At 42.9% G+C, this 18,245-nt stretch overlaps 2 protein-coding genes across 8 annotated transcripts in view, besides 7 other annotated features; both read left to right on the forward strand.

Annotated features, from left to right (window-relative positions):
• TXNRD1 (thioredoxin reductase 1) overlaps nt 1-18,245 on the forward strand; it is a 134,529-nt gene that overhangs the window by 74,191 nt on the left and 42,093 nt on the right. The window lies entirely within an intron of this gene.
• Nucleotides 11,029-11,198: an enhancer, noted in NCBI's record as "experimental_23836 CRE fragment used in MPRA reporter constructs". NCBI's record gives its function as "activates a minimal promoter by MPRAs in K562 erythroleukemia cells, with activity observed for the introgressed 12:104694861 variant allele {active_cell/tissue: K562}" and the evidence as "EXISTENCE:reporter gene assay evidence [ECO:0000049][PMID:34662402]".
• Nucleotides 11,737-11,906: an enhancer, noted in NCBI's record as "experimental_23840 CRE fragment used in MPRA reporter constructs". NCBI's record gives its function as "activates a minimal promoter by MPRAs in K562 erythroleukemia cells, with activity observed for both the introgressed and non-introgressed 12:104695569 variant alleles {active_cell/tissue: K562}" and the evidence as "EXISTENCE:reporter gene assay evidence [ECO:0000049][PMID:34662402]".
• Nucleotides 13,608-13,837: a silencer, noted in NCBI's record as "silent region_4793". NCBI's record gives its function as "represses an Ori minimal core promoter by ATAC-STARR-seq in GM12878 lymphoblastoid cells {active_cell/tissue: GM12878}" and the evidence as "EXISTENCE:reporter gene assay evidence [ECO:0000049][PMID:35858748]".
• Nucleotides 13,608-14,570: a biological region, named in NCBI's record as "H3K27ac-H3K4me1 hESC enhancer GRCh37_chr12:104697445-104698317".
• Nucleotides 13,698-14,570: an enhancer, noted in NCBI's record as "H3K27ac-H3K4me1 hESC enhancer chr12:104697445-104698317 (GRCh37/hg19 assembly coordinates)". NCBI's record gives its function as "activates a minimal SCP1, AML or CMV promoter by ChIP-STARR-seq in primed H9 embryonic stem cells {active_cell/tissue: H9 hESC(primed)}" and the evidence as "EXISTENCE:reporter gene assay evidence [ECO:0000049][PMID:30033119]".
• On the forward strand, nt 13,770-15,236 carry EID3 (EP300 interacting inhibitor of differentiation 3). The gene has a single exon (NM_001008394.3). It carries the CDS (start codon nt 13,966-13,968, stop codon nt 14,965-14,967), a length of 1,002 nt encoding a protein of 333 aa, NP_001008395.1. The 5' UTR covers nt 13,770-13,965; the 3' UTR covers nt 14,968-15,236.
• Nucleotides 13,878-14,117: an enhancer, noted in NCBI's record as "active region_6908". NCBI's record gives its function as "activates an Ori minimal core promoter by ATAC-STARR-seq in GM12878 lymphoblastoid cells {active_cell/tissue: GM12878}" and the evidence as "EXISTENCE:reporter gene assay evidence [ECO:0000049][PMID:35858748]".
• Nucleotides 14,148-14,207: an enhancer, noted in NCBI's record as "active region_6909". NCBI's record gives its function as "activates an Ori minimal core promoter by ATAC-STARR-seq in GM12878 lymphoblastoid cells {active_cell/tissue: GM12878}" and the evidence as "EXISTENCE:reporter gene assay evidence [ECO:0000049][PMID:35858748]".

An 18,245-nucleotide genomic window follows, 5' to 3' on the forward strand; every position in this document is an offset into this window, starting at 1 on the left:
ACAGGACACCTGGGTGATGTTCTATCTCACCTGTGGTAGATTACCAGGTTAGAAAACTTCCCGTAGTCCCATCACCACGATCCATGTGATTTTTGTCCTTATCCATTTATATCTCTGTAATTTTTAAGAAATGAAAACATTGCCTTCTTAGAAGTAAACCTAACGCCTGCGTTAAATGTAAAAATATATTTAGATGTGTTGCAGCCTTAGGAAAAATACTAATAATTTGAATTTTTATTTATTACCTTTTCTTTTAAAAGTATTTTATTTATTTTTGACAAATGGTTATAGGGAATGGATCTAGACTTCAAACAGCAAATTAATGGAAAATTAATGGAAATACAGAGGCTTTTAGCTTTAGTTAAAATATATTGTGTTACTCAGACCTTTAGTTTGCAGGTAAAAAGAGATAACGGTCTATTATATTAATATTCCTTCCTGGCCGGGTGCGGTGGCTCACACTTGTAATCCCAGCACCTTGGGAGGCCGAGGCAGGCGGATTGCTTTGAGCTCAGGAGTTCCAGATCAGCCTGGGCAACACGGTGAAACCCCGTCTCTACTAGAAATAAAAAAATTAGCCAGGGCTTGGTGGCACATGCCTCTGGTCCCAGCTACTCTGGGACTGAGGCTGAGGCTGGGGAATCAACTTGAACCTGGAGGTGGAGGTTGCAATGAGCTGAGATTGCGCCACTGCACCCTGGCCTAGGTGACAGTGAGACCCTGTCTCAAAAAAAAAAAAAAAGAAATATACATATATATATATATATATATATATATATATATATATATGTATATTTCTTCCTGTCTGATTATTCTATTATTTTCACCTGTGCCATAAGTTTACATTTACAAAGTTATATAGTAATTTGATCTTTATGTAATTCTACTGATACTCCTGGTTTTAATGGCAATGGGAGTAAAAAGAGTCACTCTTTTTATAAGCTTTGGAACTCACTTAATTGATTTGGTCTGATGTTCTGATGTTTTTTCTTTTTTTTTAATTGAAAACTTTTTTTTCTTTAGAGATGGAGGTCTCATTATGTTGTCCAGGCTGGTCTTGAACTCCTGGGCTCAAGCGATCATCCGGCCTCGGCCTCCTAAAGTGCTGGGACTGCAGGTCACGACATTTAGTGAGGTATAGTGCCATGAATGAAAAGCATACCATCAAGAACACTTAAAAGAAATCATTTAGCATATTTCTTAAGTAAACTTATTCTACTTTGTGTCTTTTTTTTTTTTTTTTTTTTTTGAGACAAAGTCTCGCTCTGTTGCTCAGGCTGGAGTGCAGTGGCATGATCTTGGCTTACCGCAACCTCTACCTCCCAGGTTCAAGCGATTTTCCTGCCTCAGCCTCCCGAGTAGCTGGGATTACAGGCACACGCCACCACACCCTGCTAATTTTTGTATTTTTAGTAGAGATGGGGTTTCACCATGTTGGTCAGGCTGGTCTCGAACTCCTGACCTTGTAGTCCAAAGCGCTGGGATTACAAGTGTGACCCACCGCACCCAGCTTTTTTTTTTTTTTTTTTTTTGAGAAGGAGTCTCACTCTGTTGCCCAGGCTGGAGTTCAGTGGCGCGATCTTGGCTCACTGCAACCTCTGCCCCTCGGGTTCAAGTGATTCTCCTGCCTCAGCCTCCCGAGTAGCTGGGATTACAGGCGCCTGCCACCGTGCCTAGCTAATTTTTGTATTTTTAGTAGAGACAAGGTTTCACCATCTTGGCCAGGCTGGTCTTGAACTTTTGACGCCGTGATCCACCCACTTCGGCCTTCCAAAGTGCTGGGATTATGGGCGTGAGCCACCGGGCCCAGCCCTATTTTTGTTTTTTAATGAGTGCTAAAAAATGAAAGGAGAAACAGCAAGGTAAGGACTATTGGTTTGAAAGATCTGTGAACTTTTCAGCCAATTATTGCCCACATTTGGGGCTAAATGGTAGGTTTTGAAACCCTTAAGGGAGCTTTGGGTTTCAGTGGAGAAAGGCATTTATTTAGTGGAGAATTGAGTGCTTATAGTCCTAAAGGCCACACCTTTAAAAAGAAGGTTAAGATTTCATACTTTAATTGCAACATAAATAATGGAGGGAGCTCTTCAAAATGTCCACTTTTCCTTTCTCCTTTTAATATTGTTTCTTCCTCATCCCCTTTTCCCTGAATAAACAACAGCAGCAAAACCTACCCTGCTTTCACAGTGAGTGTACTATAGAAGACAAGGGAGAAAGAATCCTGCTGGAAGAAGTTGGTGAGCCTAGGTGACTCCCTTGATAAAGGATGAAAGCTTTGCAGAAGAGTGTTCCAAAAAAGTGTAGTCTCCAGACCACCTGCTCAGAATCCCCTGGAGTACTCGTTAATTATGCATGCCCAGGCTTTACCCGAGTTCTTTTGAAGTAGACTCGGGAAAGAGCTAGGAATCTACCCCCGCCCCCCCGCCTTTTTTTTTTGAGATGGAGTTCTGCTCTTGTTGCCTGGGCTGGAGTGCAGTGGCATGAACTCAGCTCACTGCAACCTCCACCTCCTGGGTTCAAGTGGTGTGGTTCTCCTGCCTCAGCCTCTCAAGTAGCTGGGATTATAGGCATGCACCACCATGCCTGGCTAATTTTGTATTTTTTTAGTAGAGATGTGGTTTTGCCATGTTGGTCGGGCTGGTCTCGATCTCCTGACCACAGGTGATCCACCCACCTCGGCCTCCCAAAGTGCTGGGATTACAGTGTGAGCCACCACGCCCGGCTTGCCTTATTGTTTTTGTTTTGTTTTAAATAAGCTCCCTCCAATAATTTTTAGGATAAATGTCAAGTTTGAGACGCTTTAATATTATTGTACATAGGGTAGTTTGATCAAGATCATTTGATGAGATAATTAGAATTGCGGAAAACAAAGGACTAGTCTTTAATACCCAAAACATATTTGTTAGAAAACAGCAAATAGGAACCCAATGGGGGAGGAACACTTTTTGTTGAACACTTTAACAATGAATAGAAAAATAGGGAACCAAGCTGTTTGCAGCCAGGGCTTTTGTATGTCCATGTATAAAGTTGGAACTAGGGACCTCCAAGATGGTTAAGAACTATGAATAGAGTTCCTACTGCTCAAAGATGTGGCTTTCATAAACATCTTGGTTTTTAAAGCAAAGTTCCAGTATTCTTATAGGGAACCTCTTTTGTATGTAAATCAGCATCTCCCTCAGGATTCCAGGGTTTTGAAATCACTTGTAGAGAGGCCTATTGGTGGTACTGAGAGGAGAAGCAGAGTGAGTGAAAAAGTATTTACTGGAATAATACCAAGTGTCAGACATAGTTAAGACTTTAGTAGTTTGAGGTAATCCTGGGAGATAAGACTAAAACTGACAACTCAGGGCTTAAATAATTTCTTCAGGGCAATATTAGGAGAGATGACAGGCACCAAGCAATGCGGGATTAATATCCAGGTGAATTTTGCAGACAGTTGCGGTGGCCCCATGTTCCAGTCTTGGGGGGTAGATGCTGAGACAAAGGCAGGTCTCCTTTTATGTTTTGAGACAAGGTCTGGCTCTATTGCCCAGTGCAGTGGCTTGATATTGGCTCATTGCAACCTTCGCCTCCTGGGCTTAACCCATCCTCCCACCTCAGCCTCCCGAATAGCTGGAACTACAAGCGCACACCACCTCACCCAGCTTATTTTTGTATTTTTTGTATATTGGGGGTTTCACCATGTTGTCCAGTGTAGGGACCAGCCCCACAGGGTCGGTGGGTCTCTCCCTGTGTGCGGCGACGAGAGAGTGTAGAAATAAAGACACAAGACAAAGAGATAAGAGAAAAGGCAGCTGGGCCCGGGGGACCGCTACCACCAATGCGCGGAGACCGGTAGTGGCCCCGAATGTCGGGCTGCACTATTATTTATTGGATACAAGGCAGAAGGGGCAGGGTAAAGAATGTGAGTCACCTCCAATGATAGGTAAGGTCACGTGGGTCATGTGTCCACTGGACAGGGGGCCCTTCCCTGCCTGGCAGCCGAGGCAGAGAGGGAGAGGAGACAAAGAGAAAGACAGCTTACGCCATTATTTCTACACATCAGGGACTATTAGTATTTTCACTAATTTACTACTGCTGTCTGGAAGGCAGAGCCAGGTGTACAGGATGGAACATGAAGGCGGACTAGGAGTGTGACCACTGAAGCACAGCATCACAGGGAGACGGTTAGGCCTCCGGATAACTGCGGGCGAGCCTGACTGATGTCAGGCCCTCCACAAGAGGTGGAGGAGCAGAGTCTTCTCTAAACTCCCCCGGGGAAAGGCCCCCCCCCCCGCCGCCGGCTTTCCCGGTCTGCTAAGTAGCGGGTGTTGTTTCTTGACACCTTTTGCTACTGCTGGACCACGATCCTCTTGGTGACGGGCGTCTTCCCAGATGCTGGCATCACCGCTAGACCAAGGAGCCCTCCGGTGGCCCTGTTCGGGCATAACAGAAGGCTCGCACTCTTGTCTTCTGGTCACTTCTCACTATGTCCCCTCAGCTCCTATCTCTGTATGGCCTGGTTTTTCCTAGGCTATGATTATTGAGTGAGGATTATCATAATATTGGAATAAGAAGTAATTGCTACCAACTAATGATTAATGATACTCATATATAATCACATCTAAGATCTATATCTGGTATAACAATTCTTGTTTTATATTATACTGGAACAGCTCGTGTCCTCTGTCTCTTGCCTCGGTGCCTGGGTGGCTTGCCACCCACAGTCCAGGCTGGTCTCAAAACTCGTGAGTTTAAGCCATCTGCCTACCTTGGCCTCCCAAAGTGCTGAGATTACAGGTGTGAGCCACTGCACCCAGCCAGGTCTCCTTTCAAGTCTAACTTCTAAAGTTACCAGAAACCAGAATCTTAAGTGAATAGACATCAGGACATGAGTGGTAATTGAATAACTCTCCAACCATCCCCTTTCTTAACTATTCTTAACTGCAGAGGCTACCAGAACTTGACAGAAAACACAATTTATTTTGTTTCTATCCTCTTAAATAATCCCTTCTTTTTGGAGGCATTAGTAATGTATCTGCTTTTGGCTTGATTAAAGTTGAGGCCTGAGGAGGACTGGAGGATTGCTTTGAAGATGAGGGAAGTGACAGATTCTCTGGCGTACATTAAAAGGAAGTAAGGGTTGAGGACTACCAAGATTTATTAGAGTCTTAGACTGTTAGAACTGCAAATAAACGTAGAAATTTACTGGTTGTAGAGTCGTGTTGAGCTCCTCCTACTTCTACCAGGTGTAAACACAAATCTCTTTTTTTGCTGTGTATCTGTTCTTTAATAGTAGCGTCAAAATTCTGGTGGTATAGACTTCAGATTTCCGGTCACTTCTCCTGTTTACTCACCAGCGCCTGACTATTCTAGGCATCACCTTCTTGCCCCTATTTACTTTTGCCTGGACCATTTCATCAGTCTTTAACTGGCCTCCCACTTCTGATCTCCCTTCTCTTCCAGCTCATATTGCCAGTCATCTTCCTGATTGCTACTCGCTGGCCCCAGATCTGCATCCAGAACGAAATGGGAGCTCCTTAGCTTGGTATTCAATGCCCTCCAGGGTCTAGCCCCAACCTGCTTTTCTGGTTATCTCCTGCTCTGCTCCCTCACTTACTGGAGGCTCCCGGGACTATCATTGCAGCTAAAATATTTCTCCCTACAGTTTTCCTCCTCACTTCTATTCTTTATTTCAACACCTGTCTTCTCTTCCTACCACAACCCACTTTTCCAACTGCCTACCCGTTCAGAATACAAGACCAAAGTTTTCCATTCCTTTCCTCCTCTGTTCCCACGACAATCCCATAAGTCTTTATTTTTGGAAAAGGAGGAATCCTGCCAATGATAACTTTTTGGCTTACATATCGAGGTCAGAGAGCTAGTCTTATTCTTTATGCCTGTGGTCCCAGGCATATGTTAGAGCCCAGCAGATACCTAAGCAAATATGCCTGTTAATGATTATAACATTTATTTGTTGAATACCTATTATGTGTTAGACTCTAAATGTTGTTAATACTTAGTGATTAAATCCCCACAACAGTCCTGTGAAGGAGGTGATATTATCCAGGTTTACAGAAGAGAAAATAAAAGCCTTGAGAATTTAAGGAGCATGCCCAGATTACAAGCTAGTTAAGTGGCAGAGTCAGGACTAGAACCCAGGCCTGTTTGCCTGCAAAGCTCACTCTCATGTACTCATACTTCTGGCACTTGGCCTTATGTTATTGCTATTGAGATACATGCTTGTGTCCTTGATGAGATGCTGTGGTGTGCTCATGATTCGAGGTCAGGCCCATGCAAATCTTGGTATTCCTAGCATAGTGCTGGCATATGGTAGGTGTTCATTCATTACATGCTTGCTGAATGGAACTTCATTCTTCTGTGCCTACTTGTACTTTCTTTAAGAGAACAATGAGGCTGGGCTTCTAAAAAAAAATATACATTTTAATATCTTCCATATATTGAAAAAAATTTCTTTAGAGGCAAGGTCTTGCTCTAACCCAGGCTGGAGTGCGGTGGCACTATCATGGCTCGCTGCAGCCTCAACCCCCCTGGGCTCAAGCAATCCTCTTGCCTCAGCCGCCTGAGTATCTGGGAATACAGGCATGTACCACCACACCTGGCCAATTTTTAAATTTTTTGTAAGATAAGGTCTTTACAAAAGGCTTTTTGTTGGCTTAGGCTTATTTTTTAATACCTAGTGTGCATTCAGTAAATATGTATTGAGTGAATAGATCGTGGTAGGGCCAGAAGAGACTCACTTAAAGGATTTAGCTCTAAGGTATCTGGTTTTATTGAAGATGGGCTATCAGGAACCAAGCTCTAGGTTGTTCAGAAGAGATTCTAGGCAGCATATTGGAAAGCAGTTCAGAATTAAAAGCTGTATGACAGCAACATTGTCTGCCTTCAGCATTCTATGCAGGTGTGTCCAGGTCAGTTGGGAACAAAGTCACTTCACATCTATTTAGCTAGTATTTACTGAGCACCTGTGTTGACATCGGGCTAGGCACTATCTTTGTAATCTCTAACGCAAGTCTGTAGAGCAATGTACTTATTTAAAAATTCATTTGTCAGGCTGGGTGTGGTGGCTCATGCCTGTAATCCCAGCACTTTGAGAGGCCGAGGCGGGTGGATCACTTGAGGTCAGGAGTTTGAGACTGACCTGGCCAACATGGTGAAACCCCTTCCCTACTAAAAATACAAAAAATTAGCCGGGTGTGTTGGCGGGCGCCTGTAATCCCAGCTACTCAGGAGGCTGAGGCAGGAGAATCGCTTGAACCTGGGAGGTGGAGGTTGCGGTGAGCGGAGATCCTGCCATTGCACTCCAGCCTGGGCAACAAGAGTGAAACTCCATCTCAAAAAAAAAAAAAAAAAGTAATATACAAACACTTGTTGACAAATAAATTTATATTTATTTATTTATTTATTTAGTTTTTGAAATGGAGTCTTGCTCTGTTGCCCAGGCTGGAGTGCACTGTGTGATCTCAGTTCACTGCAATCTCCGCCTCCTGAGTTCAAGCAATTCTCCTGCCTCAGTCTCCCGAGTAGCTGGGATTGCAGGCATGCGCCACCACGTCTGGCTAATTTTGTATTTTTAGTAGAGACAAGATTTCTCTATGTTGGTCAGGCTGGTCTCGAACTCCTGACCTCAGGTGATCCGCCTGCGTCAGCCTCCAAAAGTGCTGAGATTACAGGTGTAAGCTACCATGCCCGGCCTGATTTTGTTTTTAATGATGACAACCACTCTGTATGGCAGAGTGAGACATCTGATAGACTTCTGTTACAATTTTCGAAGAAAGTAAGTGGAAACTAATAATGCAGATATTTTTCATTTGATCCCTGAGTGGAGTTCCTAGAATGCTGCATCCTTTAGTAGCCACATACCCAGTCCTTCTTACCCTCCCTGTCTATCAAAATAACACTCCTAGTCATTGCTGCCTTTTGAGGTGTTGTGGAGGCTCTCGTAACCTGAAAGGTTGTTCTTTTCATCTCACGCCCTTATTTATATTCTTGAGGCTTGGCAAGTCAGCCAGCACTGGGTTTTTAAAGTGTCATTAAGTATATGATTTGACCACAGAGCAAGGGTGGAGATTTTATCTACTCCAAAGTATTTCAAATGAGTGAGTCCAGATTATTTAGTGAGACTCTTTTACTTCTCCAATAATAATGCCATCTTATTTGAATAAAGCAGTTATTCAAAGCCTCTTTTAGATACTAGACTTAAGAATCTGCTGAAATCTAAGGAGCTATTCCTGAGAAAAATGCACATAAATAATTTTGCATATAAACTCAGACTATTTGTGGATCTGCTTCAGAATATCTGGTACAGAGAATTACCCTTCAAAGTGTTACTGTACACACTTTGAATAGTTGAAGCCTTCGTAGGTTTTTAAAATTTTGTTATATGGCAAATTTCTTTTCACTGGTATTTGTTATAGTGGAATATATTCCTGTGTTCCTCCTTACTGATTTAACCTTTAAAAATATTTTTCTGGGGCCGGGCGCAGTGGCTCACACCTGTAATCCCAGCACTTTGGGAGGCTGAGGCAGGTGGATCACGAGATGAGGAGTTTGAGACTAGCCTGGCCAACATGGAGAAACCCCATCTCTACTAAAAATACAAAACTTAGCTGGGCGCGGTGGCACACACGTGTAATCCCAGCTACTCGGGAGGCTGAGTCAGGAGAATCACTTGAACCCGGGAGGCGGAGGTTGTAGTGAGCTGAGATCACACCATTGCACTCTAGCTTGGGCAACCAAGCGAGACTCTATCTAAAATAAAAATAAAAAATAAAAAAAATTAAATTTTTTTCTGTTCCTAAAGCAACATTCAGAAGTGAAACTACTGGTTTGTATACAGTTTTTTTTTTTACATTTGCTATCTTTGGGATTGTTTGATTTATTAAGTACCTACTCAGTAGTTGAAAACACTGTCAGATATATTACATAATTTTCATTCACTGTAGTAATTATATGGTATAAATACAGTTGTCCCTCGGTATCTTCAGGGGATTGGTTCCAGGACCCTTGTGTATACCCAAATTCATACATACTCAAGTCCCAAAGTCCACCCTGTGGAACCAGCATATATGGAAAGTCAGCTCTCTGTATTCACCGGATGTGAAACATCACATCTCACAAATACAGTATTTATTTCTTTATTTCTCACAAGCTTTTTCCTCTTTAAGGAGCAGGCAGACCTGTATTTTTTATTGCTTTTGGTATAAGTGGATCTGTGCAATTCAAAGCTGTTTCCTTCAAGGGTCAACTGCAGTAGTATTCCCGTCTTATAAATAAAGACACTGGAGGCTGAGAGGTTAAGCAAGCTGGCTAAGATAATACTAATAGGTAATAGGTCAAGATTGGAACCCAGATCGTCCCCTCCCACAGTCTGTGGTCTTTTCAGAAACTAATTTTCATTAAAAAAAAAAATACAGATATCTGTCTTATCATAGCAAAGTTCACCTTTAATAATAACAAAACACAAAATATATACACACAAACATAACTTTAAAGAAAATTACGATGAAAGAGAAACTGCCAGGCACAGTGGCTCACGCATGTAATCCCAGCATTTTGGGAGGCTGAGGCGGGCGGATCACGAGGTCAGGAGTTCGAGACCAGCCTGGTCAACATGCTGAAACCCTGTCTCTACTAAGAATACAAAAATTAGCCAGGCGTGGTGACTCGTGCCTGTAATCCCAGCTACTCGGGAGGCTGAGGCAGGAGAATCACTTGAGTCCGGGGGGTGTAGGTTGCAGTGAGCCGAGATCGTGCCATTGCACTCCAGCCTGGGTGACAAGAACAAGACTCCGTCTCAAAAAAAAAAAAAAAAAAGTTAAGATGAAAGAGAAACTATACCTAATGTCCTGCTAATTCTGGCAAATCAAACTAGGAATTTTACCACATTTCTTCACAACTCAATATTAAACAGAAGCCATGGTGGTATGAAGGGAGAAAAGCTGCTATGAAAGAAGGAACAGAAAAGTTTAGGGAGGTAGCTATTAGGATAAGTGTATATGTTAGAGTGTGGGACTCAAACCTGACTGATTCCTGGCTTTGGCTCCAAAAAGTCTCTTAAAAATCCATTTGTTATAGGTAAGTGTTAACAGCAAAACCTCACTGGAGAAAAATAGTGGACTCGTGACTTCTTCCTTTATTTGGTTACAGGGAGACATGTGACCTTTGTCATCCACCCTATCACGTTTGTGTTGAGCAGTATGGGTTGTGGGAAAGAGCTCAAGAATGCTTGGAATTAACCTAAACTCCTAGAAAAGGAACTGAAAATATAGGAGAAAAGGGTGAAGAAAAGAGGAAAGGAAATGGAGGTCTGTATTGAACCCTGGGTAGCAACTCTTGAGCGAAGAAAGAGGAAAAAGGGGAAAGAGGGGAGCTAAATTATCTCTGAGGCAACTCAGTCTCATGGTTGCCTGAACTAGTCTATACTGCGGGAATAAGGTAGACGCCACTGGTTTCTTTGAAGTACCAGTGCGCTTCTTGCTTTCTATTCCTGGTCACAGACAAATTTATCAGTAGTGCAGTTTCTTCTTTTTAAGCTTCATTTAAATAATTATTAGTAGCACTTGGACCTTAGGTTAGGAAATCACTGTTTAATGACTTAAAGATTAACCGGCATGGAAATCCCATTCTTTATATGATTGGGGAGAGTTATTGAACTTGAGATTGTTTTACTTTGTAGCAATGTCTAAAGGCAGATTTGTTTTGTTTTGTTTTGTTTTTGAGGCGGGGTTTCGCTCTTGTTGCCCAGGCTGGAGTGCAATGGTGCAATCTTGTCTCACCCGCAACCTCTGCCTCCCAGGTTGAAGTAGCAGGGATTACAGGCATGTGCCACCACGCCCAGCTAATTTTCTATTTTTAGTAGAGACGTGGTTTCTCCATATTGATCAGGCTGGTCTCAAACTCCTGACCTCAGGTGAGCCACCCACCTCGGCCTCCCAAAGTGCTGGGATTACAGGTGTCAGCCACCGCACCTGGCCTAAAGGCAGATTTTTAAAGGTGGAACATAATGCAAGTCTGCCTTTCTTAGGATGATCTAAGTTACATGTTAATAAAGTTCTTGGAGATCTAGCATAGAATGCATTCAGCACTGTAAATCACAACTTAATGTTTGCCTCGATATGCTCTGTTGCTCTGAGCAAGTTGTGTGGGCTGTTATCTCCTGAGAAATCCCTGTAAATGGTATTAGTAATACTTTATAAGCAGGTTGGGAGAATATAGTTTTCTAAGGCATTTTGAAATTCTTAGATGAAAGGGTCTTTATGTAGCAAATTGGTGTCAGCCTATTTTCCTTCCTCTGAGCCAGAAGAAAATAGGCACCATAGGGTGGGAAGGGTTGGCTTATCTGTTAGAGTTCTTTTGTAAGTAGCTTTTGTTGAATTTTTTTTTTGAGATGGAGTCTCGCTCTGTCGCCCAGGCTGGAGTGCAGTGGCGCGATCTTGGCTCACTGCAAGCTCCGTCTCCTGGGTTCAGGCTAGTCTCCTGCCTCAGCCTCCAGAGTAGCTGGGACTACAGGCGCCTGCAACCACGCCCGGCTAATTTTTTGTATTTTTAGTAGAGACGGGGTTTCACCGTGTTAGCCAGGACGGTCTTGATCTCCTGACCTCGTGATCCGCCCGCCTCAGCCTCCCAAAGTGCTGGGATTACAGGCGTGAGCCACCGTGCCCGGCTGCTTTTGTTGAATTTAAAGTGGATGTGAGAAGCTCCTAAGAATATCGTTCACTGTAAAAGCAGACTTTTTTGGATTTGGGTCTTGGAATTCTTAACTGTATTTTCACCTAAGATTTAAAACAAGTTCAAATACTAGTTTGTAATTGGCCAGACTAGGGACAGATACGATCCTTGAATGATCCTGGGTCTCAACTTACCTTTCTTTCATTTTTCCTTTATTTTAGAAGAGGGATAAGAACTTTTTCTGAAGAGCAGTCAACTTTTCCTTTCAGTGTGTAGGATTAATTCCACGAATCTGTGAACTTAAATCTTTGCTGCCAAATAACTTGCAGTAGATGCTGGGATAGTTTTAAATCTATTTTAAGTTATACATTCAGTACATAAGTGCATCTCCGTGTAAAAACAGCTATGTTTGGAAGATCTAAAACGCAGCTTTTGTTTTTGAGAAGCCAACAATCTAATAGGGTAGGATCATATATATGTACAACTAACCGTAATGCATGGTGTTTTGAAAAATGCACGTATCTCCCTGAATTACCCCTAGTTAATAAAATAATTGGGAGCAAATGGTAATATAAGGATTTTGGAGTAACTTAATACTACTAGATTTTGCTGTTTATACATTTACAAAAAACTTTCTGCTAATGCTAAAGAAATAGAACAAGTCTATATGCATAAAGGAAGGTAGGGCTAATTTACTTCCTGGTGCTATGAAACTGGCAATTGGACAGGTGCAATTGTGGGTGTCTTTTTTTTTTTAAGGTGTACCTGTTGCAGGTTTGAAAAGCTGTTGATGCTCATGGGTTGTTTGTGTGCATGTTCTCTTTAAAAACCAGATGTATTCATTCCCTTTTTTTTTTTTTTTTTTTTTGAGACGGAGTCTCGCTCTATAGCCCAGGCTGGAGTGCAGTGGCCCGATCTCGGCTCACTGCAAACTCCGCCTCCTGGGTTCACGCCATTCTTCTGCCTCAGCCTACCGAGTAGCTGGGACTATAGGCGCCTGCCACCGCGCCCGGCTAATTTTTTGTAGTTTTAGTAGAGACGGGGTTTCACCGGGTTAGCCAAGATGGTCTCGATCTCCTGACCTCGTGATCCGCCCGCCTCGGCCTCCCAAAGTGCTGGGATTGCAGGCGTGAGCCACCGCGCCCGGCCATTCCCATTGTTATGTATACTTTGCTATTTGCTGCTGGTGAGACAGATAAGGAGTCACGTCTTTAACTGCACTTGAGTTTCCAGTGACCCCATTAAATCCAATGGGTAAATTTTCCCACGCAGATTACTCACCCAGTTTACAGATTAAGCTTTCATATCCTTAGACTGTATCTGAAATTTTCATAGCTTTGCCCACCTTTTAGGGTTCAGAGTTACTACCCATTCAGTGTCGGTGGCCTTTAGCTGTTGGCAAGCTTCCAAGTAAATAGCTCTTTTGCAGAGATCTCTACCCATTCTATTCTTCCACTCCTGGGTAGTGGAGAACCAAAGTTCACCTGAGTAATGCCCGTGCCCAGCACCCAGTTTCCTGCAGGGGTTAGCACGGATATTGGAGGCTCCCCCGATCCCACAGATACTCAGGATGGGTATTGGAGGGGGCTTGGTTTTTAAGAGGACATGTGAAAGTAATTAACCCGATTTACATTTGTATAATGAGTCCAAACACCACCTTGCAAAAGAACTGAGAGTTTAGCCTGCTTAATGGAGTTTCTGCTTTTCACGGTCCTTGGCCTTACCGACGGTTTACAGTCCAGCCAGATTTAGTTCACAAAAAACCAAAACCAGGTCGACCTCACTGCAGTATATGATGGCAGCGAGCGTTTTAAAGCGCAGGACCTTTAGTCTCCTCAATAGTTTTGTGTAAAGTTGTCCAAAAGTGTTTTTTTTTAAAGTGAGGTGATCCAGTCGGTAAACGCTTTGAAAAAGAATAGCTGTCCCCTGAGCGGGCATTAGTCGCGTGTGAGGTCAGGGCCCATCATTGCGCGTGTTGGGAGCGCCGCGCTGGTCTATGAGCGAGCGCCTCGGCTTGTGGCTGGGCCGGGCCGGGGCGGGGCTGTCTTCCCGCGGAGCGTGCTGGGGGCGGGTCGCGCCGGGCCGGGCCGCTAGTGCGCATGGGCGGGCGTCCTCGGCTCTAACTGCCGCCACTTTCCACACGCTGGGAGGGCCGTTACCTCAGAGATACCCGTGGCCGGCATGTTGGTTGAAAAAGCTTCCCGGAAGGGAGACGAAGAGAAAGGAGAGGAGCAGCTCGTGATCATCCCCGGTAGCGAGTACGCGGCGAAGTAGGCGGCGGCGGAGGGAGCGCTGATGAAGATGGATGTGTCAGTGAGGGCCGCGGGCTGCTCCGACGACCTCAGCTCTGGGGAGGCCGACGTAGACCCAAAGCTCCTGGAGCTCACCGCTGACGAGGAGAAGTGCCGCAGCATCCGCAGGCAGTACCGGCAGCTCATGTACTGCGTGCGGCAGAACCGGGAGGACATCGTGAGCTCGGCGAACAACTCCTTAACCGAGGCTCTGGAGGAAGCCAACGTCCTCTTTGATGGCGTGAGCCGAACCAGAGAAGCAGCCCTCGACGCCCGGTTTCTTGTTATGGCTTCTGATTTGGGTAAAGAAAAGGCAAAGCAGTTAAACTCAGATATGAACTTCTTTAATCAGTTAGCATTTTGTGACTTTCTGTTTCTGTTCGTGGGTCTGAATTGGATGGAAGGCGATCCTGACAAGTTGAGTGATTGTGATGATAGCATAGCTCTTTCCTTCTGGAAGGCAATAGAAAAGGAAGCAACATCCTGGATGGTAAAAGCTGAGACATTCCATTTTGTTTTTGGTTCATTCAAGCTAGAACGTTCTGCACCAAAGCCCCGACTTGAACACCAGAAAAAAGTTCGCAAGATGGAAGAAAATGGCAACATGCCTACAAAGTTGCAGAAGTTGGACCTGAGTAGTTATCCAGAAGCGACAGAAAAAAACGTAGAAAGGATTTTGGGATTGTTGCAAACCTACTTTCGAAAGTATCCTGATACTCCTGTGTCCTATTTTGAGTTTGTGATTGATCCAAACTCTTTTTCTCGTACTGTGGAGAATATATTTTATGTTTCTTTTATTGTAAGAGATGGTTTTGCAAGAATAAGGCTTGATGAAGACAGGCTGCCAATATTAGAGCCGATGAATGTTAACCAAATGGGTGAGGGAAATGATTCCAGTTGCCATGGCAGGAAACAGGGAGTTATATCTTTGACTTTACAGGAGTGGAAAAACATTGTGGCAGCTTTTGAAATTTCTGAGGCTATGATTACATACTCCTCATACTAAAGATTTCTTAGTATAGCATCCTTTTTGTGTTTTTTTTCTGAAGTTAGATGGAGAGTAAAATGTAAACTGAAGCACATATTGTATCTCTTGTAAAGTGAAAAAGTATTTTCAAGAACATCAGACATTGTTTTACTGTGCAGCATATTTTTCTTAGTAATTTATAAGGTCATGATCTTCTGTTATTAAAACAAATTCACTGGCATATTTATGGGAACGTTTTATTGAATGCCCTTTAAGACTATTAATAAAAACAAGTTTTGGATACCAAATTAAGGGATATTTGATAATTTGCAAAACATAATAATTTACGAAAATCAGTGATGATGCTCTGTGATGCGTTGCTTTCTCTGTCATAGGGAACCAAGAGAATCCCAGAAAGGGTTCCTAACCAGGTTGGGCAAAGAGTGGGTAAAAAACAAAAGTTAAAAAAAAAAACCTGTCTGTAAGGCAGTGAATATGCAACATTAAGACTAAAAAAGTCATTGCAAGGAAGACTTAGGATTTATGAGTGAGTATCCATATTCTAAACAATTTCTGTTATTGTACTCAGCAAAAGTAGTGTCTCTGCTGTAGTAGTTGAGGTATCAGCTAAGGGTGAAAGGTGAGTAGAAACACGAAGAAGGAAAAGGCATTCTAGGCAAGAGAATAGCAAGGTCAAATGCATGGAATTGTTAGAAGTTAGGCACGAGAGGACCATTAGATTTATGGAAAAACTATTATATTTGATAAGCTGGGCAACAATTGAATAACTTCATCTATTAATATCCTGAGAAGATGTTTTTGTCAAACTATTATACATTGAACACAAGATCTTGCTATCCAGTTGTAGTTTTTATCTACTGAATTTCTTCTCTGGCCCCTAGTGTCCCTTTGTGGTCTTTGCTAGTACATAGAATGTCCTTCACAATCTACGCTTTTTCATCATGTAACAACTTTGAATATTTGTCCCACTTTAATTTTGCATTTCTATCTTTTTTTTTCCCCCTCGAGACAGAGTATCACTCTTGCCCAGGCTGGGGTGCAGTGGTGCAATCTCGGCCCACTGCAACCTCTGCCTGCGGGGTTCAGGCGATTCTTGTGCCTCAGCCTCCCAAGTAGCCGGGATTACAGGTGTGTGCCATCACACCCAGCAAATACTTGTATTTTTAGTAGGAACAGAGTTTCGCCATGGTAGCCAGGCTGGTCTCGAACACCTGGCCCCAAGTGATCCACCCGCCTCGGCCTCCGGAAATGCTGGGATTACAAGTGTGAGCCAAATTTTGCATTTCTTAATAGGGCTTTAAATGCCAGGAAACTGACCTTGCTGAAACTAAAACATGTTAGTTTATCTGGATGTTCTTCACTTAGTGTAAAGCCATAAAGGCTTTTTTCTTTCCGTTGCATAAATTACAACCTTATTTGGAGATTATTGCCAAAAGTTTGGGTCATTAAGAAAGTAACTTGAGAAGGTGCAGTAAGCATACCCATAAGCTTTCTTCCCCTTGATCCCTATAGGAGCTTAATTTTTGGTAGTCGTGGAATTTTGCCATTAAACAATACTTTGGCAAATGTTTAGGTATCTGTTATGCATAGCAGTGGCAAACTTTCCTAGTAAGTCTAGTGGTACAGGAAAGGGAAATCCAAAGACTCAACAAATGACACCAAGACTGAGAGGAAGGATTTTTCATGTATGGAGATGAGGTTCTTCACCAATAATAGAGTAGAGGTTTTAGCAAAAATAGAACTTTCTCATGAAACTTGGCAAATTATTTTCTAAATTAGTTACTCCTTTCACATATGAAAGAGCGCTGACCCTTGCTAGTGTCTAGTATCCTTTGATTTATAGTAGCAGTCATGGAAGCACCATTTGATCTCACTCATCCTCATTTCCAGCATGTCTCTACCAACCAAGTTCCTTGGGTTTTGCAGAGATCTGCTGTTGGAAGAAAAAGTACTCTTAATGACAGCAAAAAGATCCCGCCCCAGTACTTTACTGACATTCAGTTGCTCTGTTGAATGTCTCATGTCTTTACTAGGAGTATTTGACAGTGATGATTTAAAAGCATTAATAGAGAATCTGGAGGCTTAGGAGAGGTAATTTTTTTGGTCTTCTCTAAAGTTAATAGCTGTTAAAATATAAAGTTGACCACTTCTGTTTCTATTTTTACTGGTTGGCATGACACCAACCAGTAAAATGATGAGGATGATGGATTGCCTCATCATTTTTGAAATTTTGAAATTAAACTGACTGCTTACCTTGAAGAAAAAAGGAGATTAAAAATTTATAGAGGTTAAGAATCAAACTGCAAATCTGCTTGTTTCTTGCTAATACGTTTGTATACTGAATAGAAATAACATTATGCTAGTCTGTCTATATACTGGATCAAGATTTGTTAGGAAGAGGGCATTTCAAAATAGTGGAGATTGACGCAGGGAAGCTCAGCGGAGGACACCAGTGTAAATACATTCCAGCACTTCTTGACTTAGTTCCAGGCAATTTCCCTTCTTCAGGAGATGGAGAATTAGTAACTTAAAGGGATTAATTCCTACCAGCCACTATGCTAACATGCATTATCTTTCTTAAACTCAGCCATTTGATGAGGTCAGGAACCTGTTAGCTTCGTTAAGGATTAGGTGATTGGTCGAAGTCACCTGGCCTTGTGAGTGGTAGAGCAAGTATTTTAACGCAGGTTATTTCTGCATCAGAGCCATCTATAATGGTAGGGGAAATAAAAGTACAAATCTGGCAAAGGATAGAAACTATGTTTAGGGGAAAAGTCAGGATTGCTTATTCCAATTTTAAAAGACTGCCACAGTTGAATTGCTTTCTGTTTTGTGCCCTTTTTGGGGGAGCCTGGAGCAGTGTTTTACTAGGAGTGGGTCTGGGGAAAGGGATTACTATGACAGGCAGGTGGATGAAAAGGAAGGCTATCTAATGTGTAAGCCTTGCCAACAAGTGACAGTTGCCTGCAGGTCATCTCATATTCTATAGCATTGGTTCTCAAAGTGTATGAGGCCCTTTTGGCATACTTTAAGGTCAGAATTATTTTCATAATAGTAAGATGCTGTTTGCCCTTTTCTTTCTTTTTTTTTTTTTTGAGATGGAGTCTCACTCTGTAGCCCAGGCTGGAGTGCAGTGGCATGATCTTGGCTCACTGTGAGCTCCGCCTCCCGGGTTCACGCCATTCTCCTGCCTCAGCCTCTCGAGTAGCTGGGACTACAGGCGCCTGCCACCACGCCCAGCTAATTTTTTATATTTGTAGTAGAGACGGGGTTTCACCGTGTTAGCCAGGATGGTC

Source organism: Homo sapiens, chromosome 12 (genome assembly GCF_000001405.40).
Source record: "Homo sapiens chromosome 12, GRCh38.p14 Primary Assembly".
Classification (NCBI taxonomy): domain Eukaryota; kingdom Metazoa; phylum Chordata; class Mammalia; order Primates; family Hominidae; genus Homo; species Homo sapiens.

Coding starts and splice junctions, on each gene's coding strand:
- EID3 (NM_001008394.3), top strand. CDS start 13,966: ATGAAGATGGATGTGTCAGTGAGGGCCGCGGGCTGCTCCGACGACCTC.